Source organism: Homo sapiens, chromosome 4 (genome assembly GCF_000001405.40).
Source record: "Homo sapiens chromosome 4, GRCh38.p14 Primary Assembly".
NCBI lineage: Eukaryota > Metazoa > Chordata > Mammalia > Primates > Hominidae > Homo > Homo sapiens.
The window spans coordinates 174,206,019-174,233,771 of NC_000004.12; the positions used below are offsets into that span (position 1 = coordinate 174,206,019).

At 38.2% G+C, this 27,753-nt stretch overlaps 1 long non-coding RNA gene across 1 annotated transcript in view, besides 2 other annotated features; it reads right to left on the reverse strand.

Moving 5' to 3' along the window:
* The window catches only part of LINC02268 (long intergenic non-protein coding RNA 2268), a 125,739-nt gene extending 111,359 nt beyond the window's left edge, over positions 1 to 14,380 (reverse strand). Inside the window, exon 1 of the long non-coding RNA NR_125896.1 lies at positions 14,296 to 14,380. This is a non-coding gene — a long non-coding RNA (long intergenic non-protein coding RNA 2268). The remainder of the gene's footprint in view (positions 1 to 14,295) is intronic.
* Positions 8,288 to 8,347: an enhancer, noted in NCBI's record as "active region_22161". NCBI's record gives its function as "activates an Ori minimal core promoter by ATAC-STARR-seq in GM12878 lymphoblastoid cells {active_cell/tissue: GM12878}" and the evidence as "EXISTENCE:reporter gene assay evidence [ECO:0000049][PMID:35858748]".
* Positions 8,458 to 9,118: an enhancer, noted in NCBI's record as "NANOG-H3K4me1 hESC enhancer chr4:175135627-175136287 (GRCh37/hg19 assembly coordinates)". NCBI's record gives its function as "activates a minimal SCP1, AML or CMV promoter by ChIP-STARR-seq in naive and primed H9 embryonic stem cells {active_cell/tissue: H9 hESC(naive and primed)}" and the evidence as "EXISTENCE:reporter gene assay evidence [ECO:0000049][PMID:30033119]".
* Positions 14,381 to 27,753: the final 13,373 nt, after the last annotated feature.

Below are 27,753 nucleotides of genomic sequence, written 5' to 3' on the forward strand. Positions count from 1 at the left end.
CCTGGATTATATAATCTTAACAATGTTACTTTTTTGTTGTCGTTTCTCATCACCTCCACTATAACTCCTGAAAATCTGGTTTCTACCCCCTCCACTCTCAAGGAAATGTACATTCACCAAAAACATATGCTATATTATTTTTCTCAACACAGTTACTTACAAATCGATAAATAAAATAACGTATTCTCAGTTTCTACTCCTTTTGACCCTTAAAAATCTGACGCTGATGTTGACCCTATCTTTACGGACCCTCCGGCATACTGGTTCTCCTCACCCCTCCTATCACTTTGTCTCAGTTCATCCCTCCAACCTTTACAAACTAACCCCACCACCTAACGCCCAGCCTGCTTGCTTACACTATTGTATTAGACTCCAACCTCTCCCACTCCAATTCACACTGAGTATTAATAGGAGACTAATTCCCTCCTATTCAAAAATCTCAAAAGTTTCTCACTGCCTGTATTATTTAAAGTCTAAGCTCCTTATCCTGACATTCGAGACCCCCTTCATAATCTGTACCCTAATCTCTCCAGCCATACCCCCAAAATTACTTACACCCAGTCCCTTCTACTTATTGAAACCACACATGTCTTATTTTCCTACTTGATACTTTTGCTTCATGTCAGTTGCCCTGACTAGAATGCTTCCGGCTACTATCAGTGTATACAAATATTCTTCATCTTTTCTTTCTTTTATTATTATTATTATTTTGAGACAAGGTATCTCCCTGGCTGGAGTGCAGTGGCATGATCTGTTGCCCAGGCTGTTCTCAAACTCCTGGGCTTGAGGAATCTTCCCGCCTCAGCCTCCCAAAGTGCTGGAATTACAGGTGTGAGGCATCGCACCCAGCCTTATCCATCTTTTAATATTCAGTCCAGACTACTGTTTCTTCATTAAGGCCAGCACAAATTTCCAAGGTATCTTGGTGTCCATTTGAACGATTATTTTGGAAGCCAACCATGTGCTTAATTATTTTATTTTGTTAGTTTTATAATAGTTGTATAATACATTCTCAGTGTTTAGATTTCAAGGTGTACAAAAGTGTTTAACTGTCTTCCCCACAACCTTGTCCTTCAGCCAGCAAGGTTCCCTCCTGGAAGCAACCAATATTATCAGGGATCTTTCCAGGGATCTTTCCAGGGATAATTCATTAGAAGCAAATGGAAATTACTGTCTTTTCATATGTTTAGCACTTTGTACCAAGCAAATATGTATCTATTTATTTTTTCTACAAATATTTAACATTTTATGTACATACAAGTTATCCTCCTATTTATGGAGTCTATGTGCCTTGGCTTCTTTATATTAATGTCTGTCAAATAAATATTCATTGATTGATTGTGCAATTCTTTTTTTCAAGTCTGGGATAGACTATTTCATGGTAAGATTGACTCTCTACCCCCTTCTCCTCAATTAAGAAAGATAATAAAGTAAGCAGTCGGTTTTTTTCAAACACTTCCTCCCCATACACAGTCCTTAAGAGGAAACTGAAACATGACTAATCACATATGCAGATGTGCATTGTTTTACTGTGATAGTTTAATATGTTCCAGATACAAGCACACATTGCCATGTTTCCTTTGGTTCTGATACATACGCTGATACAAAGATTAGCAAAATTGCTGATTTGTAATGGATGATTCTGTTTCATTTTAGAACTCTCCCATCCCTGCAGCATTCCAAGTTCACTAAAGGTGTGTTTGCATTGAAACTTTTTTTCATAATTACGTCTATCTCCATTTCATATTGCACCTATTAGAAATGACATGACAGCCCACCCACCTTGTTGCTGCTTCCTAAATACCCTACAGTTTCTTCTTATCTTAAACATATGTATCAATTTGTGAAATGATAAACCCCAAAATGCTGTTTTATATAAAGAAATAAAATAATGCCTAAGTCAAGCGTTGGAAGCAAAGTCAGCTTCATTCATAGTTAAACATTGTACCTGGCATTACTAATTTAAAGTATCATACAGAATATAATAGATATTTGGAATCAAATGGTTTATTTGACCAACAGAGAGCCAAACCACATAAGCTAGAATGCCTCAAAACCCATTAGTTAAAAGAGCCTTTAACTATCAAATTGGCTGCTTTTAATGCATCAGACTCTGGGCATGTGCCAGATACTCCCTTGATTTCACAAAATAGAACCTCAATGTATATCCCACACACGTACCTTGAATTGGAATTATTTCCTTTTTATTAATCTTGTATTTAAATCAATGCCCAAGGTTTAAATATCATCTACAAAGACACAATTTTTCTTAGAAAAATGTATCTTGAACCAATAAATACAATTTTAGTATGTATGTAGGTATGTATTTACATACACAGTGAGATGGGACCTCACTATGTTGCCCTTGCTGGTCTTGAATGCCTGGCCTCAATCAATACTCCTACCTGGACCTCTCACAGTGCTGGGATTACAGGTATAAGCCACCACACTTGGCCTAGTTTTTCAAAATTAATGTAGGCTATCTTTATCTATACCAGCACAGATGCTTTTAAAAACTTGAAAATATTTTTTATCAGAACTACATGGAAAATATCAGTATTTTAGGCTTACAGTTTTAGTAGCTATTAAATCACCAAAATAGTAAAAAATGTTCCATTTTACTTGATTCTTCTTGATGACTATTTCCTTCCCAGCTAAACACACACACACATTTTCACAAGCTCACGCACAAGCTTACTCACCTAAAAGTCTCATAAATATAAAATTTATGTTACAAAATATTCAGGTGTGAGTGAGATTAAGTAGGAATCAATAATTCTGATTTGTCATAAAGATTGAGTTTATTTTTATCCTCAATTTTAATAAATTCTGTTCTGGGTTTTAGTTCAGATTATGAGTATATATTATCATAAATGGTTTGAATATTTACCAACACAGAATTTAGTAACAAGTGAGATAGTTGCTAAGACACTGTTAAGGTAGGTTGGAAGCACTTAGTTTTGATAGGCATGATATATAGCTAGGGAAGCAAGTGTATGCAAATAATTATGCTGTCTTTGAAAGAGTGGCTTATTTAGATGTAGCATAGCCAATGAGACTGTGGTAGTACTTGTGAAACTTACAGGAAGTAATTAAAGACGCACAGATTCTCTTCTTTTACTGGCTGTTTCTGCATTACATAGAGATTATGAAGAGAGACAAGAAGAATGACAGAGAAGCCTGAACAGCCCGTCACATTTTCAACTAAGAAAATTGTTTTTTTCCATAGGCAAACTTTCTAGTTAACAAACACTTGTTGTTTTTATTTTATTCTCTATTACTTGCAAGTTTGGGAAAAATTCTGATTTCTACATTTTAACAAAGATACAGACATGTTTATTCTCCAAAGGGTTTGTTCTCTATGTCACCAGCATTTTGCAATCCTCTTCATCCTCAGGTCCTCTGGTTGGTTGCCATCTGGCAGTTTACCTTTGATTTTATGAATAAGGTCCCCAATTGTTTTTGCAGCTGTTATCAGTGCAGCCTGATCTATTTCGAATGGGGATAACAGAAAATATATCTCCACAATGTTCTCTGCATTTCATTCCTGTGGCTCTCTTCCCAGACTTTGAATTGTGATTTTTCTAGTGTACATTCCTCAACACAGATGGTGACAACACAGATGGTGACAACACAGATGGTGACTAGACACTTGGTTTAAAGAAGATATAAAAGTGAATGCTTCCCAGTAATCATTGTTTATAAACATATTTATGAATCTGTGACTATGGGATCTATTAATTGTACACATATTTTATACATATATAGTTATTCTCATCATGGCCGCTGAAAATGCTTCTAATTATACGATTTCTTTCTGCCTCCGATTGTTTCTTATTTTTATAAATGATGTTTATATCTTCCATGCTGACCCCATGAAAGATAATAATGTTAAAACTGTATTCCCAGGAGCCCCGGGGAAGAAGTGAAAAAGATGCGAGTGATTGGCTGCTATTAATATTATCCTAGTTTACAAAGTAATAGGTCCATCAGTCTCCTTTCAACCAAGGTAGTCATTTTGAATTGATTTCATATATTAGACTTCCAGGTAACATTCCATTTGAAGAAAAGATTTCACTACTAATTTAGAGGATAAGTGAATTCACTCATTACTAGAGATGGCCTGGCCAGTTCACCATAGGTAAACAAGATATTATTGCAGTGAAAAGGTCCCTTACAAGCAACCTCCCCCTGAGTATTTCCCCTTGTAAACAATGCTGCCTACAATTTCTACTTCTAGTCCCATCTTTTTAAAGGCATTGAAAACATTAGTTTTAGGGCAGCTATAACAGAGTGGACCAGAGAACACATTAAACCATCCATTAGCACCTCCATACGAATAAGTTTATCTATTAGCTCTTGGGACCTCGAGAGGCCTGGAGAAAATCTAGTAAGTTTTGGTGGATCAGGGGATTTAAAAAAAAAAATGCTCCCTGGGTTGTCACTTTAGGGAACTGTAAAGTACTCTGAAGCTCAGGGCAGTGGAGGGGTGAAGAAAAGGAATGCAACCCTGAGCAGTAGAGGGCAGTGATAGGAAACCCAGGCTCTGACAGTTGAGGCTTGCCACCAAGAGAGTGGAGGGCTGATCCCTAGTAAAGGGGAAGGCTCTCCTCCACCCCTTCCCTTGGTCAGCCAAGCTTCTACTTCCAGATCAACATAGATTTTTCTTCTCTGTTATAAGTATTTTATTTTTCTGATCCTTTCAACTATCTTTTCATTTTAACTGAATCTTACTCTAAAAGCCTTCTGTTGTCACCAACACCAATAATAATTTCTAAAATATTCAACCCGAGTTCTGTTTTATAAAATATTATAATCTGCCCCAAATCCATGCAAGAAAGTTTTCAAAGGTCTGCACAAAATTTGTTATACACATTGATGTTTAGTGCCTCTATTTTTGCATAGAAAATTATTGATAAATGATCATCTAAGGTGCTAAAGTGAAATGTGCCATAATTTCTCAAATTATATTCTCCCTGCAGCAAGATGTGGGCAGAGCATTTATTTAACTTTTGCAATTTTTTAAATGAAATGAGAAAAAATCCTACTGTGGCTAGTTTTTACATTATATTAACGTGAGAAGTAAACTGGAGTCATAGCTGTGACTCGCTATGTGTGAATTATTAGTCCACATTTCCAGGCCTACACTAGAGGAAGTTTCCTTTAAACATACCTCTGTACAAATGGTAATTTTGTGCTTCTGAATGGAGAGTGATTCCTGGTTAATTCTGAAGCCAAGTTTATGAGCAGCTTAACTTTACAAAAGAAAAAGGAAGCAGAAACACTGGATTTTACAAGTAAAGTTTCAGTAAACGTCAGCTTCGGATGACAGTGGGAACTAAAGGACATGGGACAGAGACAATGAAACGAAACCAGAACTCTACCTACTGTTTTCTTACCAATTGTCCCTGCATTTATATATGAAATTTTCAGAAGCGCATGGTAATCTTGCCATCTAATCCTCTACAGTTGACAAAGTGCTTTCATACGCATTTTCTCCCTTTTCTGCAGGCTATGATCCCTGAACACTCTCAGCCTTGTCAGAGAGACCTCCAGGATGCTACTTGAGGCTGAAGAGTAGCGTTCTGGGTCCCCAGCTCAGTAGGCACCACCTCTCAGGGAAGTGACCACCACTACGCTCTCAGCTCCGCAAGTCGCTGGACAGTCAATAGCGCTCACACGGTGTCTACCGGATCTGGCACGGTCAAGACACAGGAACAGCCGTACTTTCCTGCGGGTAAGAGGCTTTTCTTTTGTGCATCACGTGCAGAAGAAGCCACTCCGAAGTGCAAACACCTTTCTAAAGTTTTCAGTGCTTCCTAAAATGCAGACATCGACGCCTTGCTGAGTTATCCGATCCTTTGATGATCAAATAAAATTAAGGCCAGCTCCCTGCTGTTTGATCTGTGGCTCAGTTTCTCTAAGGGCTGCCGCGGGTTCCGCAAAGACTCACTCCAGAATCCCCAGCTCCCTCGCGTCAGCGAATGTCCCGCTGGTCCAGGCAGCCTTTTCCTGCGCGGTTCTTCAGTTCCTTTTTCTAAAGCTCTATTTATACAAATTACTTTTTTCTTCTTTTCATTAAGCAATCAGGATTTATTTTCTTTTCTCTCTGTATCAGCCATGGACACATTCACTGATGAAGAACCAATCAACGTTTTGTGTTCTTATTTATTTTTATTTCTGATGAGGCAGGTTCCAATCAAAGAGCAAAGTCAGAGAAAATAATCAAACAGCTCGCGGTGGCCGCTTTGCCTTTGTTTTTATTCTAGTTTTCTTTGGTGGGTCATTTTTAATTCTCTTCTTTGTTAAGGGGTAGTTAAATCTGTATCTTTGTGCTCAGCAAGAGTGGCCCGTGTAGTTAAGAAGGCCCAGAGAGCTTCCTTGCCCCAGTGTTCAATGGGCAGCTTCCCTTCTCACTGAGGAGGAGACTTTCAGTGGAGAAAGAGAAATGGAAAAACTTTCCAGCAAAATCAGTCAATGCATGGAGAAACCTGCCTTTCAGGAGCTGCTAATTCTTTCCCAGGCAACTCCTACTCCCCTAGAGAGGAGGAGGAGAATGAGACCTCAGGTAAGTAAAAGATCCAAGCTCAGTGCTGATGGAGTGAGAAAAATCCCTCTCTCAGTGAGGGACAGAACCTGCTTTTTGTCTTGAAGTCGGCATTGTGTTACTGAAGATGTGGGGGCCAAGATTATTTTCAGGACACTAAAAATCTGAAATTGTTGACTTCATAAGTTGAACAATGACCAACACCAGTTGAGAATGGCCTGGAGTACCCTTCATCTTACCCCCCACCCCAGCAATGAAAATAGCCTCTGTGAGCACAAAGGTGTGGAGAGTGCTATCTGCTATTAAGCACATCAATTACATTGTGGAAAGGCTATGACTTAAACTACACATAATGAAGATACTTCTTAGGTGACACAGAGAAAAGTTTTGACCAGATGATTGGCGTTGTTCCTTACGTTTCTGTTAAAAATCACATCCTCTCAGCTCCCAGCCCAAAGTGAGTCCTAATGTTAACCTGAGACTCCTTCTAGAGTGGAAGCTCTAGGAAAGGGTCTGTGTGTGTGTGTGTGTGTGTGTGTGTATGCGCACATGTGTGTCTTTAAACTGTTGTGTGCATGTGTGTCTTTAAACTGTGTCCCCAGTGTCTAAAACAGTAGGCATCAAGTAAATATTTGTGAATTGAATGACAGAACATTAGAAGCAACACTACCATCCCCACTGCACCCCACCCACCCACCCCGGTGAAAAATGGAATTTCCCAGCCAAGATTAGTGAAAGAAGGAAAAGACAGGGGTTAAAGTGCTCTTTGCCAGAGTTTTGGGAAGAATTGGCCACCTGGTAAAATAAGTACTGACCCAACGACATCTTCGCCTACTCTTTATAATAAAGGGAAGTAAAATCACAGGTAAATAAGATGGGGGCGTTGCCGCAGAGAGTGCTTCTGAGGGTCCTTCTCTGGGATCTTGGAAAGAAGATATCCTGGAACAGGGGGCTCAGTTGGAAGGTGGCATACACATTAGCTTTCTAAAATTAAATCTATAAACACAAAACTGCAGAACTTTCAAACTACTGTGTAAGTAAAGGAAGTCTCTCCACTGAAAGCTCAGCTGGCTGTTAAGTGGGTTTTAGAAACAGCTCTAGTAAGCGAACCTATCTGCGATTTTCGGGTTTCCATTCCTATTCGACTTCCCTCCTCTGGGTCCTTACCGAAAGGGAAGGTCCCAAAGGACCACCAGCGCGCTCTCGGAGGCTCCAGGACTAGACATTGGACTCCCACAGCGCAACACCATAGGGACTCCGGTGTTCGGTTCCCGTGGCCCTCTCCTTGGCTCCCGGTCACCGTCCTCACACCCCCTGGCCCCAGTTACTGACGGAAGCCATGTGCAGCTGCCATAATGTGTATAAAAGAATCTCTCCCTGGCGTTGGTTTCTTCTCTTCTTGGAATGCTTTTGGCAGATCCTCCGCGTTTTCCGGGTCTCTTGGGAGTCTGAACATGCATTTTCCTTTATTTCAGACAGGATTCCGAGTGTTAACTAGATTGTGCCCTCCCCACTACCTATCCTGCCCATCTTCCTTCTCAGCCGTCGGGTGCGGGAGGAACGCCCTTGCCAACCTCAGCCTTTTTGATCTTCCGCGGGCAGAGACTCATCAGAGCCAGGAGGACTGTAACTACCCCCGGGGCGTGTACCGCCGAAGCCTGAAGAGGCTGGTTGGGCCAAAATAGCAGTCGCTGCAGGCACCAGTTTCAGCCCGTCACCTGAGTGCCGGTTCCTGTGGGCGCGCCAGTCTCGCAGGCAGCGCGCCCAAGCTCGCGGATCGCCCTCTCACATTTTTAGAAGCCAAGAAAAGCACTTTTGAAATTCACTCCTTCGACCGTGGGCAGAGGAGCAGGTGGGCGCCGAGCCCTAGCTGAGGGTGGGGGGTCGCGGAGGAGAGGAACTGGAAAATGGGAAATAGGTGTCTGCTGACCTAGAGTTCTTCGGCTTTGATTTTAAGCGGCAGTGAGGCTGGGTGGTTTCGCCCCCCTCATCCCCTCGGTCGCTGGCGCAGATTGATCCTGGAGCTAGTTACGGGTGTTAAACTGGTACGCGGGTGGGGCAATTCATTAGGCAAGAAATGGATTAGTTGTTTATTATCTATAAACATTCCAACCACAGCAACCAATCATAAAACCGCGGAAGGGCCTGTAAAGTAAAGCAGCAGCGAAGCCTCCATGTGGGCAGCTCAGGCTTAGCGATTGTTCCCGGGTGATAAAGGGTCGATTAGGGAAGTAGAGCTAGGAAGGTGGGGGCGGGGGAGCGGGCGATAATTAAGCGAGTCGTCAGGAAATTGCTTTCTAGATGGGGATCATGATGCCTCTAACTTGAACGGGGCAGGAGAAATATTGGGGTGATTTGGAAGACGGTGATAAGGGAAAGCACAAAATAAGGATTGGAGGGCCGCAGTGAGGTCATTAGTGAAGCTGATGCCGGAGATAAAAGCTGTTGATTAATTGAGGGGAGCAATTTAGTCTTTGGTTTCTTGGTAAAATGCTTAGTCACTAACCATGAAAGCGGCCTAATAATATTTTATGGGGGTGGGGAGGAGTTTAAAACTGGCATCTTTCTAGTAGCAGAAATTCACCTTTGAGTATGGCTTTTTAAAATTCCTCTTTGGAATAAAACGTTTTCTAATAAGAGTTAGTCTCAAAAAAAAGTTAATATTAGGTTGGTGCAAAAGTAATTGCGGTTTCTGCCATTACTTTCAAATGACACAAACCGCATTTACTTTTGCACCAACTTAATACTTTTTCTTTTTTAAGTATAAAGCTTTTGTTTTTAACAAAATAACTATTTGGTTTCTTTGGGGTTTCGTAAAACAAACTTTAAACTCATTGCATATTTGACATTTTACTATATTAGAAAGTGATGAAATAATTATGCTGGTTTTCGAATAACTAATTCAAGTATACTGTTTTCACTTTGATTCAGAACCTATTACTCAGAAAACAAGTTAGTGGCAAAGTTCTTAATCGTTTAATAAATATATTGGTTTGGAAATTTATTAGAACTAAGATGTAGAATATAGTAATATACACACGTTAGAGGTTTCCTTTCTCAAATTAAAAAAAAAATGGTAATTTAAGTGTAACCGTCCAAAAACGGGCATGAGGCATAAATGAAAAGTTTGATAAATTATTTTTTAAAACCTTCTTATGGAATTTCTTAGATCAAGATAAAGAGCGTTACCTGCATCCCAGAAATTCCTCTCCTGCAAGATGTTTTTTAAAATCAATTTATTAGATTTTTGTTTTGGGGATGTTTATGTTTAAATAATTGCTCATCAAGTGCTTGGATTTCTTTTCAGGACGAGTATTGTAGATTTTCCTCCCTTGGGGACTACTTGCCTAAAAATAAAATGATTCGAGCATTTTGAAGAAGGAACAAAAACAGCCTCCACATCCTTTTTTTTTTTTTTTTTTTTCCTGCCTCTGGCAGCCCACACTCCTTCCCCCAGCTTTCTTTATTCCATATGAGAGACATAACAAACAAACGATTACATGTTGAAAAACACATCTGAAAACAGAAAGGTCACGTTACTACCGAGTCCTGGGGAACATTAATCTGATGTTTGGAAAACAGTTGACAGTTGAAGGTTGGAGTTTCTCTTTTCAACTCCTGGACAGAGAGAGAGAAAGAGAGACAGAGAGAGAGAGAGAGTTGAATGAAAAAAAGAAGGGAAGAGACCACTTTGTGGCCTTTTCACTTCAGGAATAATTGAGGGACTGCCAAATTTCTAACCCAGATTTAAAAATGCAAACACATTCACAAAGAGGACTAACGATTTGAAATGGCTCAAGTTGGCATTGACTCTAAGTGAGAAGGTGTGTGTGTGTGTGTGTGTGTGTGTGTTGTCTTAAAATAATTAATGTGAATAGCGAAAAGTAATCACGATAACATCAAGCCCTGCATGCCTGAGGGGAGAGTTTGCTGGACAAAAAACAGTCCCTTTACTAATAGCTTGTGAGAAGGTGAAAGTTGATTGCCTGACCACTCGTCTCTCTCCAGCGTTTCTCTAAGTCCGAGCCCCCATCTCTCCCAGTCCTCCCGGCTCAGCGAGGAATTCCTTTTCTTGACTTGTTTAAGTGCTGGTAACCCAGGGCTCAGTGGCTGAAGCAGCTGGGTGTCTAAAACCCCGATATCTGGCTGCCACTGGGGTTCCTCCTATGTGAATTGTGAGGTAGAATGAGGAAGAAGATCTGAAGTACATTCCTGGGACTTTGGAAATTATCATATTGAAAATTGTACTAGTAAATTGCAAAGACAACAAATAATGAGTCCTTCTCTACAGGCATTCTCAGATCCTGGTATCTCTACAACACAGTGGATATTTGAGGCAGGACGATGGATGGGGCCAGGTGTGAGAGCGAGAATCAAGAAACCTAGGATCAAGGAGTTTTACCAGAGCTTTGTGTGACCTCGTGCAATGTCACTTTAACCTGGATAGCGTCAGGTTTCCTCACGCATAAAATAAGATCAGATGATGCCCTCTTGGATTCTTTGACTGCAGGACAATCATTAGGCCATAGTGAACAGATGCGCTTGGTTGCCAGACCGCGCCCTTTGCGGGTCTATCAAAAGGGCAAGCGCATATTCTGGAGCTGTCTCGGAGACTTGGACAGAAAGATTCGAGGCAAATATTCTAGGCTGGGAAATTTCGCGCCGAGCCCCCCCCTCAGTTAGCCTGTCTAAAGGCTGGTGTGGCCAGAGCGAGGCAGAGAGCTCTGCACCTACTGTCGGGGCTGACAATGATTTATGCGCTTGTGACCCACGTAGACCATAAACCTAGTTTGCTAGACGTACAGGGAACTGCGCCGCAGTTAATGCAGAGGACTTATCCTCTGACCTGCAATGTCTCCCCACCTGGTGCTCTACAGCTCCAGAGAGCAGGGATTTCAGCTTTTCCTCCCTCATTGGATCCAATTTCAATCCCCTCGGTTAACTGAAAGTGTGTTGACTTCCACCCAGCCGGCAGGACCCTAAGGGCGCCTGGAGCAGTCTGGTGCGGGTCCTGGCTGCAGCATGCCCAGCAGAGCTCCGGGTGCAGGAGGCTGCAAAGCCACCGCCGCGTCCAGGCCCCTTGAGCGGAGGTGGGAACGATCCGCCTTAGAGTTCAAGGTGAATTGCTGTGACAGTGGCGGGTGGAGGAGGGGAGTTCGAGCCGTTCGCCTCGGGGAAGAATTATCCCCGATCATTTATTTTTAGATCTGAATTCCTCCAGAACCCAGCAGAGGCTGTGGCCAGAGCCCCAGGGCCAGGCAAGCGGCCAAGCTGCGCTCTCGATAAAGGAGCCAGAATGGTTCCATCTGGTTACAAACATATCTTTTTATTAAAAAGCAATCAGATCCTGAAGCGCTTCCCTTGCGGTTTACCGCTCTCCGCAGGCTGCTTCTCCGAAGCCAGCGGTGGTAGCGCCCACTCGGTTGAGCCCACGCCTCCGCCAGGCAGCGCCTCCGCCAGGCAGACCTCCTGCGGGACATTTTGTGGCCAGGGGGGTTCCTGCCCAGGGACCTCTAATAGGGTCGGTGGAAGCTAATTTGAATCTTCCCAGTTCCTTCCCTGTTTATTTCTCAACCCAGCAGTTCAAAAATTCACTTTATAACGGTCCCCTAACAAAAACACGAGTAAGAAAGATAGCAAAGAATTAAGCTGGACAGGCACCCATGTTGCGAAAAAGGTTTTGCTTGGAGACTGCAGGAGAGGGCTATCCCTCTTTACAATTCACGACGTTACTACCAACTTTGCCATTGAGTGGTTCCTCTCCCTGCCCGAATTCCTGGCCATCTTCGTTCCAGAGAGCGATGCAATCATGGCCTTGAAACCGAACGGGGCGTAACGTGCCATTCCTCTCCAGCTCCCGAGCCCCACTCCCACCCTTGCCGTTGAAACTGTGAAAAAGCCGCCAAAGTTTGGGCACCCAGCCTGGCAGTCGGAAGACAGTGAGATAAAGAATGCGATAGTAAGTCCTTAAGTGCTTCCTAGAGATAAGGTCCCGGAATCCTGGAAAAATTCAGTCTGGCCTCCCTACTTCAGCAAGTCGCCTCCTGCTTCTGTCAGCCCCCTCCCCACACACACCTGGAGGGAGAGGCGGTGGCCACAGGGGTAGCTGGGGCAGACCCTCCGCTCCTCCACTCCCGGTGGCCAGGGGTCCTAAGGCCACGCGGCTGGCTTTCTTCTCTGGGAATCAGGAGATGATAATGAGAAAATCCCTCAACCATTGGCGCGACGAAACTCAAAAATGGACAGCCCTCCCTTATTCATAAATATTACTTCAAATATGTTAAAGACGTTAAGTAATTTTTAGTCTCTTTAGAATTTCCAACGCTATAGTTTATTATGACAGATAAGGTTTGATTTGTGCTAGTCGCGTGCCAGGACACTGAAGGTGAAAAGAAGGAAAACAAGAAAGAGTTTCTAAAAGAATACACGTAACATTTAAGATAACTACATACAAAGTGCTCACTTAATTTCTCTTAAAACAGTTACAATGAATAAATTACATTTCCAACTTAATAAAATTTAATTCTCTTAGTCGTTTGTACAATTGATGGCCTTTGGTTATAAAATTTTACTTTTTGGAGAAATATTGCCCCTCTGTCAAATTATAGCACATGACAAATAATATAGCAAATAATAGGTTTGACTTTTAAACATACACAGTTATTTGAAACAAAATGTTTTTAACTTTCTGGCAGCATAGGCAAAACAGTAAAAGCACAGTTATATTTTAGGAATTATCTTAATACATTCCCCTCTATGATATCAGAACTTACTCCTGATTGAACCAAGGAAGAACAGCTAACTCTTCGGATAAAACAATTTTTTCTCCTTCATTCCCAGGCATGGTTTGGAAAGCAATAAATGCATATTTGCAAGAAGTCATGAAAAATCAAGATTAAAAATACTGTATAATCTTCCTGGTAAAACATATATACATTTTATATCTGACCATATGAAACTGTCATCTATAAGTATTACATTTTAATGAAGCATAACTCCTCATGATATATTTATTTCATAACAAATGGCAAAGGTAATATTACTTATCTTCAAGTATTTTTTCTTTTAAAAGCTCCTCCCACCAAATGAGAGACCTCTATTTAAACAGCAACTTCTATTGAAATATATGATCTGAAGGAATTCGCTATTTGAAAGTCTTTTGACAGCTTTACAGATTATATCTGTTGAGTTTTTTCTCTCTCTCTTATTTCCACAATTTACATGTGTGAATATATGGGTAACCCTCACTAACTTTTCAACATCAGTCACGCACATTAGGTAGAAAAAATTAATTTTGAAACTATTCTTTGTTTTTAAAATGATATATGTCATTACTGTTAGGTGAGTAAGCTAAGTGTGTTTTTTTGGAAGGGGAAGGTAGGTTAATCACAATGATAGAGCAAATATAAATAGTATTATGTTGTTGGTGTTAAAAGGCAAAACCTCTTAGTCTGTGAAGATCACCTACTTACCTTCTCTCCATTAAAAAAAGAGTTGAACTTTTTGGCTCCCTGTATAATGTGTGTTCTCCATAGATTTTATACTAAATATTAATATTAAGATTATAGAGCTAACCTTTTTCTAATGTCAAAGAGCTTTTGAACAATACAGGCACAAGAGAGAAAAGACACCTACCTCATACATTCACATCCCAAATTTCCTATCTCCAATGCAACAGGAATAATCTTTTTATTCCATTAAAATGGTCACTAACCTTATAATAATAAAGGCATGTTTTAATCTCTTACCTGAAGGAGTCTTATCAATGTAACAAGAACTGAAATTGTGACTGGTCCTTGTTGTCGTTTACAGTACAGAGATCTGTACTGTATTGCCTTTGTGGAGGGCTGAAGTAACAACATATGACTACTGCCTCCTGAGACCCTTATGAAAATAAGATATATAGCTGGTTCAAATAAATGTTTTAGGCCTTGACCCAGGAATATAATTGAGAAAAACAAATTATTTCACATACACTAAAACATAATTAAAATGTTATTCTAAGCTTTGCTTTTGTGTGTTATGTTGTATGTGCATACTAATGTTATCCTCAATCATAAAGCTATGTAAGAAATGATTGTACTTTTAAAAATGTTACGTAAACATCTTTTTTCCTAAAAGTGGCAAAAATTACCTTAGAAAGCAGTTACAGTGCAACTTTCACTTTTAAAGGTTTTCAAGATTGAATATTTTAATTCATAACATATTTCTCATTGTTAAAATTCTTTGGCTTCCTCATATCTGGCATTTAAAATTTTTCAGTTGTTTTGTAGACTATGTATGTAAGGTTGCATTTTTCACTGTCAACATAAAGTTATTGTTTGCTTTGGATTTAATATGTATTTGGATATGTATGCATATTTGTTTAAAACTATGAACTCTGGGGAGGGTTTTAATTCTATGCAACATAAGTCAGTTTTATATAATGAATATATACAACTTCAGCTAATAAAAAGTAAGATTTTAATCTTGACAATATATTCCTAAAATGCATTAAGATATTGTCAATCTAAAATGAGCTTGATTTGAGAACAAAAAGAATAAGTTCTTTTAATGAACTAGTGGTATATTGTTATATGTATATATGTTTTGCTGATTTTAGCAAGAAAATGGAAAATAATCCATAAGAAAATGGAAAATAATCCTCCTGCAAAAGAAACCTGAAGTGGATTACCTAATAAATTGTTTTCAGCCTGAATTTTAAGGTATCACGACATAGTCATGTTTGTTTTTTAAAATATCATTTTCAAAAATCAAAGACATTAATGGTATTCTCTATTTCAAAACTATGATCATTATTCTGCTTTTTGCCACCAATATTTATGCTAGGAGAAACATGTTTAAGAGTCATCAACACCTTGGGCTCATTGACCATACGAATGAGTCACATGGTCAAAATGAATAAAATGTTATTTAGAAAAAGGAAAAATATATATATATATTTATACATATGCATAGGTATTCTTTTTAAATGAATAAAAGGGCTTCATAATTTGGGACAGCAGAAAAAGGGAGTAGCAAGCATCACAGCCCAAAGCAAGAATGAAAGTAGCAATGGTGTCTAGACAAAGGAGCAAGGATATTTGCTTTTACAGTTAGTTTTATTTGGGATATCTTGGAAGAAAGAAGGGTAGGCTCTCAATGGCTAAATTAAATTATCTGGATGATTTGTCTACACAGAGCAATAATGACATCTCTTTTTGTTGTTGTTTGCTTTTGTTTTGTTTTTTGTTTGTTTGTTTGGAGACAGAGTCTCACTCTGTTGACCAGACTGGAGTTGCCCGGGCTGGAGTGCAGTGGCATGATCTCGGCTCACTGCAGCCTCCACTTCACGGATTCAAGAGATTCTCCTGCCTCAGCCTTCTGAGTAGCTGGGATTAAAGGTGCCCACCACCACACCAGCTAATTTTGGTGTTTCTAGTAGAGACAGGGGTTTCACCATTTTGGCCAGGCTGGTCTTGAACTCCTGACTTCAAGTGATCCGCCTGCCTTGGCCTCCCAAAATGCAGAGATTAGAGGCCTGAGCCACCGCGCCCGGCTCCTCTTCCTGATGTGCTATGTAGATACATCTCTAACAGGAAACTATAGATCCCCCAGCATTTGCTTTTGAAATAATTCAAAACTTTCATTTCAGTTAGGAAACACATTTTGCCAACATCATATTGTCTATCTTTTCCATTACATTCCCCATAACAATAGTTTTTAAATGAAGTATGCCTCAACTTAATGTTTATTATTAATGTAACAACTATTTGTTGACTGTTTACTACAATTCTCGGAGCACCAATGACTAAAACAAACAAAATAACCTTCCCTTGGTAGAGTTGGGGAACTTTTCCGCAGAGCATGGAAATTAAGGGGAAAAATCCTGTAGGTTTCAGGTTATCCACTAGGTGGCAAGGTGTGCAAAAGTGACTGCCTATTGCAGAGCAAAATTTGGTACAAAGAATGTGGCTTTCTATGAAAATTTCCACCATATTTTGTTTGTAATGATATTTGTAAAGTCTCTTTTTGAGCTCTACAGTTAATAGCTAACGGTCAGGATTCACTCTGTGTTCAGTTTTACAAAGCATTCTTTGCTTGGGGCTCATCTCTTCAAGAAGAGAGCCAGCTGTGTTCCCTAGTGGCCCATCTACAAGATCCCCCAGCTTACCTTAAGAGATTTTTCTCTTTTCCTCCCTATATTTCTCTGTGCCCCCAGATGTGTGGATTATGAAATCTGCCTAAGGGTCTGAACATCTGGCTTTGCAGAAGGACCACAAAGCGTTGGTTCAATTTTATTCAAATTTACCTAGATCAATTTAGATATCACACTTTGATTTGCTGATGTGGGGGGTTAGTGTCCAAAACACTAACATCTTACAATAACATCCATGCTGATAAGTAGTCAAACACATATGCCCATATGTACATACATGCAATTATGAATATATTTTATTTTCAGAGACTACTTAAGTGAGATCTCACATTTATAGCAAAGAAATAAAATTATTTCATTTAATCAGACCTCTTCTTTGGAAAAGAATTGTGATATTTTTCTCAGTGAAATTGGGCCTTTATGCATGTATTTTGTTTTCAGAGACCATTTAAGTGAGATCTCACATTTATAGCAAAGAAACACAATTACTTCATTTAATCACACCTTTTCTTTGGTAAAGAATTGTGTTCTTTCTCTCAATGAAATTGGATCTTTATGCATCTTTAGATCTCCCAAAGAGATTAAAGAAAAAAAATCTTTCCGTCTTTGAAAAATGGTTTATACAGGATGTAGAACACTTGTAGGGTTGTTTAAATATAGAGTTTGAGATTTTTCTGTGCTTGTCTAACATATGAAATCTGTATCTTTGTTTTCAGATGAGTAGCCTCTAATCCAAAAGTGAGATATTAGCTAGGCATGGTGGCACTCACCAGTAGTCCCAGCTACTTGAGAGGCCAAGGTAGGAGGACTGCTTGAGCCCTGGAGGTCAAGAGCAGCCTGGGAAGCATAGCAAGACCCCACTCTCTAAAAATACATAAATAAAGTGAGATTTTAGAGATAAATATTTTTCTTTGTGAAAATGTTCTCCCCAACAAGACTGTGTGTCTAAGGACATAATTATTAGTAAAACATTAACATTTTAATGTTTATAGCTGAAATTTTTCTCCTTAGATATTCACTTTGGCTGTGATAATTCTCAACACATTCAAAATGTGTGCCTCATAGCAGAGTTTATACATTTGGCCATGAGTTTTGATAACAGCTGTGAATAAGCAAAGGATATATTATTTTATACATAAATTGGAAATATGGGTTGTTTCTGATAGATGTGGTTGTTTTCCATTTATCAGAGTTGTAGGGAAGCTATTTTTCGAAGTTAGGGAAAAACTTTTAAGTCAGGCTCAATTCCTCTCAATACACAATCAAGCACCAATTTATATCTGTTCTGCTTAGCTCAGGGCCTTCCACATAGTTCAATTAACAAATTTACTGATTGATAACTACAATTTGTTTCATGGAGAAGTCATTCATACAAAATGTATTTATAGATCATAATGTAATCAAGCCAAGGTATTACTAGTAAAAAAAAAATCCATTCTTAATACAATTTTAAATGTAAAGGGATTTTACCTTCAGTTAGTTTAAACAAAGGAATAAATCTCACCCACCCTCCCCCCAACCCTCACTGCAATAATTCTGCTTTGGGTTTCAGGACCTAGAAATAGAGCTTTTAGTGTTTTTATTTTTAATTCCCATTACAAAATATGTCAACTTTTTAATGACTTTATTATGATGAAATTCTATTCTGGATTACTATCATTTTAGGCTTTTCTCATAGACTTACTGTCTTTTACGAGAATTTTACTTTTTAGTTCACAATAGTATGACAAGCAGAGCAGAACTCAATAAAATTTTTTAAAACCACAAATTTCTCAATAACTCCTCAATACATCAAAGTTTTCATGTAACCATATTTTCTACTCAAAATTTTCAATATACATTTTCTTCATAATTATAATTATTGTAAACATTTTATTTAGGGTTTTTACTTCATATGTTATTATAAACAGTTATCTTATCCTTAACTAGTTTTTATATTTATCTAGATTAATGGCTAAACTCCCTTGCATTTCTTTCTAAGCATTATCCTTCCCAGTGTTCCTCATTTCAGTAAAGGGCACTAGCAGCTGTCCGGTTTTTAAAGCCAAAAATCCAGGAGTTCTCAGGCCCTCCCTTCTCCTCCCCTCCCCTCCCCTCCCCTCCCCTCCCCTCCCCTCCCCTCCCCTCCCTTCCCCTCTCCTCCCCTCCCCTCTCCTCCCCTCTCCTCCCCTCTCCTCCCCTCTCCTCCCCTCCCCTCCCCTCTCCTCTTTTCTCCCCTCCCCTCCTCTCCCCTCCTCTCTCCTCTTTTCTCCCCTCCCCTCCCCTCTTCTCCCCTCCCCTCCCCTCCCGTCTCCTCCCCTCTTTTCTCTCTCTCTCTCTCTCTCTCTCTCGCGATATATATATATATATTTATTTTTGAGACACAGTCTTCCTTTGTCGCCCAGGCTGGGGTGCAGTAGTGTGATCTCAGCTCACTGCACCCTCAATCTCCCGGGCTCAAGCAATCCTCCCGCCTCAACCTCCCGACTAGCTGGGACCACAGGTGTGCACTACCACAACCAGCTCATTTTTATATTTTTATTTTTTGTAGAGATGGGGGTCTCACTATGTTGCCCAGCCTGGTCTTGAACTCCTGGGCTCAAGCAATTCTCCCACCTCGGCCTCCCAAAGGCCTGGGATTACAGGCATGAGCCATGGCACCATCTCAGTTCTCTGTATCTCCACTGCCGCCACCCAGTTCTAAGCCTTCATGACCTTCCATCTGAACAGCCTCAGATGCCTGCTAACTGGACTCCGGGCTTTCACTCTTGCTCCAGCCTATTACCCGCTCTTCACGCAGCAGTCAGGAATGATTGTTTTAAAAACATACATCACATCACATGACTCCTCTTTTAAAATCTTTCTGTAATGTTTTATTGCCCTTGAAATAGAATTCAGATTCTTTGCTACTACCTACCAGGCCCTGCCAGATACGGCTTCTGCCTTTTTTTTTTTTTTTCCAAACCCATCTCCCTCTGTGAGTTCCTTCCTTCCTCACATATTTCCTGACCTTTATCATGTTTTAGTGGCTTTTTTAGGTGCTGGGAATGGAGAAGTGAATATAACAGTGTCTTCTTTCATGGCGCTTACATTTTATGGTGCATGGACCAATGTTGTTTCTGCCTCCCGGGCTCAGCCTTTACTGCTCCTCTGCTTTGGAAAGCACTTATCCTCTCAGGGCTGCAAAGACAGAGCGAGATTAATCAGTAGATCCAGGACTCGCTAGCCTGTGACCTCTATAAATGGTCATGTTTATCTCCTCAGAGCATACTTCTGCAGGCTAAATAAATTAAATAATACAAAGCCCTTAGCACAATAAATGTAAGATAAATATGATCTATAATTTGGATTTTTATTATCAGTTTTGCAAAGAAATATTTCTACAACTTTTTCAGAGATTTCTGAGACTTGCTTCCTTATGGCATTGACCAAACTGCAAAATGAGCTCCCCTGCAGGAATTTTGAGCTACAAAATACATTCCCAAGAAGCTGGAAAAGTATTTCCTCCCAGAGCCAGGGCTCTGCTGTGCAGCATAATACAAATATCCCAAGCTTAACGCCATGGTTTTTATCATGGATGCTGATTAGAACATAATTTAGTGATGTTTTTGATTGGAAACAAATTTTGACCCCATGGTGCGTTACATTCAAAATGTCTCCATTGCAAAGTGTTTAAACTTTTATTATTGCATTTATCACATTGTATTATAGTCGTGGGTAGGGTAACCACACATCCTAAGTTTATGCCTTTTGTCCTGAAGTACCATCTGGTTTAGCATTTTAGCACTCTCAAAAGTGTCCTGGTTTAGACAATAAACTCTATAGTCCCCCAATTATGAGGCAGGTGCCTGGCTGCAGAGGCTGAGGAGCACTGGGGTGGTCCTAAGCTAAGTGTGGGTCTGTTTGAGAAATTGGTGATGCTGGTGACCCAGAGATGTCTGCTTGTTTTGCATGCAGAGAAGGGCATAGAGGAGAAACTTAGGCACCGAGGGCCAAGGGCAGAATCAGTGGAGGAGAGTAAGGAGGGTCTCCAAGACTACACCTAAACTCTAGAAGAAGAGGGCTCCTCTTCTCATTTCTGCTAAGAACACAACACATTCTAAGGCAGTGAGGATGGAAGAGAACAGCTTCGTTTTGGTTCTTTTGAGGCTTGTAGTTGTATTATAAGACAGCAAGGAATCAAGGGCAATGAGACAAAACTTAGAAGATGCCTTGCAATCCTAAACCTCAGTGAAGTGTGAAAACAACTAAACCTGGGTTTCTGAGGACTAGAAGAAACATTTGGGGTTGGCTGAGGATTGGGTTTGCATGCATCTTAATCACCAGAGTAAGATATAATTTGGTTTGGTTTCATGCTAAAGTTTTAGTTTTCGGTACTTCGAATTAAAGGGTCAGATACAGTCTGTCAGCTAAAAAAGAATATTTGTTAAGTAGAATACTTCATGTCCTGGCAGGAGGAAACCTTTCTGAACAGAGTGCACCTTGGTTATTTAGTTTAAAATTTTTATTCTGGAAGATTGTTTAAATTGAGACAGGATGGTAACTTTTTATATACAAGGAATGTTATTAAAGTACTTTGAGATTTTTGGATGCTTGATTTGAGAGCACTTGTCAAAATCAATTTGTTCATACAACACGTATTTAGATCCTACAGCTTGCCATGCACTGTGCTAAGTGCTCATGACAATATCACAATGCATATCAACTCCTCTAGTTTCTTCTGCTATGTCTATGCTGAGGACTCTCCCAGAACAGTATCTTAGCCTTTATCTCCCATCTTAACACTATACAACTAACAGCTGAATACCTTCACATAATTGTCTTATGAATACTTCAAATTGACCACAGTGAACTCATTCTCACCTGCTTACATCCTCCCCATCATCACTACCTTCCTCCCAACCCAAGAAGACGTGTCCTTCACTGACATTCCCTCCATCTAGAATAGAACTCCTTCTTCAGAGTATTTGGAGTAGTTTTTAACTTCTTCATCTTCACGTCCAACAGCCAGTAGTACACCAAAATGGTTTACTTCAAAAGTTTATCTCAAATCTTGCTTCTATCACTTCTACTCCCAATGACAGTACTAAAGTTCAGATTTCCATTGTATTTCACTTGCGTAATTATAGTAGCCTCTTCACTAATTTCCTTAGACTACAGTCTATTGCATTTCTACTTCATGTATTAGAGAGATCTTTCTGAAACACAGATCAGAAATGATACTTTTCTTCTTGAAAAATATCCAATTGCCTACACAATAAAGTACTGACTCTCTATTTTAGCTTACTGTCTGTTCAAACTATATTTTCCAGGCTTTTCTTCCACATCACTCCCACTTTACCCTCCAACTCTAGCAGATTATTCACTATTTCATGACCCTTATATGCTTTTGGTTCCATGCCTTTGATCATGTTATTAACTCAGTCGGTAATATACCTACTGAAATAGCATTCATTCTTTCACACTAAGCCAGTTGGTATTAATTGCTTACTCTACTCTTTCTAAAATACTAGTACTTTTTTAAAAAGATCTTTTAACATCGTTTCTTCTGCTATTCATTAAGGTTAGTAATAAACAAAAGGCACATGGGAGTCAGTGTTTGTCTTGGTCCCTATAAATGGTCATGTGATCCTCCAAAAGTCACGTAACTCCTCCAGACCTCTGAAAAATTGTGGTGATACTATATATGAAGTATTACAGAACTGTATGTGATGTATTATGGTTGCCTTCCTCCCACTGAAGTCCTTAATAATGAGGGGTAGTTTTCTTCATTTTTGTCTCTTTCACAACACCTAGTAAGTTCCTTTCTTGCACAACATAAGCCATCTTTAAATGCTTATTTAAATATTAAAAATTAAAATGTCACTGTAATATAAAATAATGCTCTAAATTTATCGTTGTATCATAGGTACTTAGGGGTTATGGTAAATTTGAACTTGAATATGTGAGAAATGATATTTCCCTTAAACAGTGAGAAAAGCACAAAGTACATCAGAATGATGTTGGAACAGCAGGTCTTGCCTGTAACGTGATTGGCTACATTAAGACTTTAATAAATTGATGTAATAATAAGTGGAAGTATTAGAAACATTCTGAGTCAAAGAAAGGGGAAACTGATGAAAGAAAGGGCAAAACACCATGCTACTTAGTATAAAATTAAAAGCAATATGGGAGCAATTCTTGGCAGTTTCTAGTAGAAAGTGATTTCAGCTATCAAATTTTAAATGTGCAAAATGATCTCTATTGAGGAGTGCATTTGGCTATTTAAGTCTGATGCAAAACACAAAGCATTTGATTCAGGTAACTCCCCTTGATCGGACTCCATGCCCATCAATCAATTTACTGTAGGCTGGTAAACAGAGAGAGAGAAGGTGCTGATCACATTTAGTAGGTTATCACTGTAACATTTCCTTTAGTTCTGGATTTAAAATCATGTCATGAAAAATACACGTGCTTGAGGGGTGCTGACAAAACCAGATTTCTGAGGCTAAGAACCAGACCCAGAACCAATACAAATCCATCATGGTAATAAATGCCACTCTGGGAGAGCTGTTACAAGGCATTGAATTTCACCTAATCCAATATAAGCTTGGTTTCATTCAAGTTTTTCATTTCTCTGGCTTATTATTGACAATGGTCATAATCTTTTTTGGATGGCATCCAGGAAAATACTATATATTATAGTACCAAGATTAATTAAAGGAAGGAGAGAAATACATATTTTTAGAATTTATGCTGTAAGAACAAAAAACTCCAAAGGGAAAGAAAATGAATAACTATGAACTCCTTTGCAAACACAATTGCCTAAATTAGACTTTGCAATCAGTTTTTAGGGAAAAATATGTATTTCTCTCCTTCCCTTAATTTCACAAACATTGAGAAAATAAAATATATAATTGTTGAGAATTATAGAGATACAATAAACTATTCAATGGCTGCAAGACTGAAAATGACATGGGCTTTGGAAGAAACTCACTGGAGGGCAATGTGATGGGTGTCACTGTGCTAGTATATACACGGAGCTACTTTACTTAGCTCCTTTTATTGTCCTCTCTAAAAGGGCAGCAGCTTTGATAAACTTTTCTGGGCCACCCCACTTTTCTCAGACTGCCTACCACAGGAGCACAGGCAGATATTCACTGGAACTCTGGCCCTGGCAAAAGGTAATTTCCCTTTGGGAACATATATTCATGCAGCTCAGAGGAGACAACTACCCTCAACTTGTTCAAGATGAGGGCACTCTTTGTTCATTTTTTGTTTAGATAAAAATTGGCAAATACACATTAAGTTTCTGTAAAAGGAGCTACTGGATGTCTTGTTATATCAAGACATTTTCTATGAGGATTTTTTTGGAAGAATTTTCTCTGGCTTGAATTCTTTTGGACAGGTTTTGAAATAAAATGATAAACACTGGTATTGGTAATTGCTACAAATACAAATAACAATTTGTACAATTGTTATTGTAATTTGGTATTGGTATTGTTTTTGGAATTAGCAATTGACATTTGGTGTTTAATTGGTATTAACATTTACTTAACTTTCAGTTAAACACAAATGTCAAATACAACAATTTGTACAATACTAAATACAATATCAGTATTGAAGCAAAAATATATATTCCATTTGCCACCTAGTAACTAGGTATATTCAGCAATTTGAGTTTAGCTAATGTCATCATTTTTAAACAATACATACATAAATAAGGGTGTATTAAGTCATATTGCAACCTTATACCTTAATTTAAAAACTTGATTATAAAATTAGTCATGCTTGTTTTTTAAAAGTATTTTGAACAATGAAAAATGATTTTACTTTTAAAAAAATGCTTCACTTTAATTCTTTAAGTTAAAAAATAGAATGTAACCTGAGATCCTAAAATTCCTTGTTTATTTTAATTTTTAAAACAAATTGAGAGGGGACATTAGTACAGATTTTGTCTTCAAAGTTTCCTTTAGAAAATGTCAACAACTTAAATATTTAAAAAGTGATTAACTACTTGCAAAGAGACTAAAAACAATATCTTAAGTATGTGAGTCCCCAAACATACATATTTCTGATTTAGACTTTTAAACTGTCAATACCAGAGAGACAACGCCACTGATGGGGACCTGGCACTAGTCCTTCCAGTTAATTTTTTCCTTGGAGAATGGTTTTGGGCGACAGAGTGGCGTCCGGCTTCCCAGGTTGTTGCACTGACAAACTGCAGTGGTGGCAAAGTCAAGGAGTCTGACAAAATCTCATTAATCATTTTAAATTAAATCCAACCTTCCTGTCCAACCATGCCAGGAAGAAAGCCTTTATTTTTTTTTTAACAAATAAAAATTTCCTCAGTAAAGATTTGATATCTTTCTCTTGTTGGTCTTTAATTTGATGAGACAAAAATAAAATAAAACAATGTACATTTTTAAGCTTGAAAACAAAACATTTGTCCAGATAATGATTTAACAGGTCAACTAAGTGTCTTTTTAAAATAAATTTTGAATAAAAATACATGGAAACATTCTGAAGGGAAAGCCTACTAGGTAAATTAGGGACATTGTTCATATTCTGAATAGTTTGATTAATTTATTTTGTTCTATCTAAAATATATGATCCTTAAGAAGATTTTAAAGAGGAAATACACAAAAAATCCACTATCTATAATATTTTGGTATATTTTATGCCAGTCTCTTCTTTGTATTCACAGGTTTTTGCTTTGTTTTATATAATAATTGTAATTTGTGTATATATATGTACAATACACACATGTACAATTTTATATACTTTATAATATCTGTAAGAATTTTCCCATATTATTGATAAATATCATTGCATCATAGTAATACATCATGAGGATGTATTTTGGTCTTCTCAACCAGTGCTTAGCATAGTGTCTGGTACATAGAATGTACTCGAATATTTGTTGGGTATTTGTTAGAATTTCAGTGTTTCCATCTCTTTTTTCTTTTAAAAACTGATGTAATTAAAGTTGTGCATATTGCCTTTTCCCAATTTGGAATTATTTCCTTAAGATGACTTTCTAGAAGAAGACACATTCACTTATGAATGCTTGACAAGAAACTGTAGGCAATAGTGTTATTAATAATGATATTTAGGAAAAAGTTCACTTTTGACACAGGAAAACAGGTTTTAATTTGAATAAACAAGTTGTTATTTTAAATATTAAAGCTTATGAATAAGCTTACTCTCATTGAGCACAATATTCATAATATTGTCAAAAACTTAGACCAATTAAAAGAAGTAACAAGATCAATGACAAACTCTTGATGTTTTTCTTATTTTTAAAAAAGGTCACCGAGTCTGCACGAAAAAAAGTAGGTAGGCAATCTCCAAGTAGCAATAACTCATTCAGATAGTTCAAATTATTTCTGGAGAGGTGAATTTATGTCTAGAATAATACACAGTTGAATCTTAATATTTTTTAAAAGTTAGCTAATATACTCTGGTTTGTAAATTGTGAAAGGTCTGGATGTATTTTTTAAAAATGGAAATAGTAAAGCCATATTTCTATGTGATTATATAGAATCTAAACCAGAGCAAAAATGATTCAACTGGATTTATTGAGAAACTACTCTGGGCTAACATCTGTGTTAGGCACTGAGTGAGATACAAGAACAAAATTTCCACCTGCAAGAATTAAGAAAGTTGTCCTGGAGGGGAAAGAATCTAACAGGACTTGGAAGGACAAATAACATTCAACAGGTAAATATGAAGAAAGGTTAACAGCTTTCCCGAAGAGAAACACAGTGCAAATGAATGGAAATATGAAAATACAGATTTTTATGAAAATACAAATTCATCAAGATTAGAGAGTGCTAATTTTAAAAGAATGTATTCAGTAAAAACCCTATTGATGACAAATTTGGAGGGAATTCTAAAAGTTGTTAAGCATTTTTGTTCTTTCCTCTCTTCTTCTTTTCATTTTCTTTTTCCTTCCTAGTAGGACACCAACTAGGAAACACTGAATTGCTAATTTGGTAAACATTTACTAAATGTTTATAATTAAGGTTTTTCATAGATAGAACATGTTAAAAATTTCTACTCACCTAGTTTTAAAAATAATCAGGAACAAATCCCTACTCAGTAATCATAGGAAGTAGAAAAAGAATACTACCCAATTGGAGAGGGTTCCACTTCAAGTGATGGTCAAGAAGTTCTTTCAGACCAACCTGCCAACATATGAAATTACAAACTCTGGACAAAATATTTAAAAATTAACTAACTGAAAGTAATAGAAAACAACCAAAAGCAGGTTGATCCTACAGAGGAGTGAATACTTAGAAGAAATAGCACTGGGTGAGTTTCCTATTTTTATAGTTCATAGCCTGAGGAACTCCTCACTCTGCATCATGTGGAGACTACAGTTGTATTGACTTGAAGAACACTAGGACACGTTTGGGGTAATGGCAACTGCTGGAAAACGCAGAGGGAAATCCTGATACGAAAAGAACCACAGAGAGAGCCCTAAATTCTGTGTATGACTCTGCTAAAGCTGGCTGGTCTCCCACGCATGCATGTACAGAAGAGATTTCAAGTACAATAGCCAGGTTAAAAAGCTGAACTAAAATCTGAGCTGCCACGAACTCTAGGGGAACCAGAGCTTGCAGCTGGCAGTTTGGCCAAGTTAACTAGCTGCTTTAAAAAAAAAAAAAAAAAAAAAAAAAAAGAAGCCTTTAGAGAAACAAATAAAAATCCAGGGTTTCTGCAACATTTTACTTACCATGTTCCAGACACAATCTAAATTACTCTACATATGAAGAAACAGGAAAATGTAACCCATTCTCGAAAGAAAAGAAAATTAGAGAAGACTGACAATGAAATGATCCAGAATATTGAAATGAATATTGAATATATTCATACATTAAAATAAGAATTTTGAAAATTGAATATTGAAATATCCAATACTGAAATATTGAATATTAAAATACTAAATATTAAAATAGACAAGTATTTAATATTGAAATAGAATACTGAAATGAGCCATCAAGTATCTTAGCTATTATAACTATGCTAAAAGGTGTAAGGAAAAATACACCAGTCATGAATGAAAAGATAATCTCAGCACAGAAATATAAATTATAAAAACTAA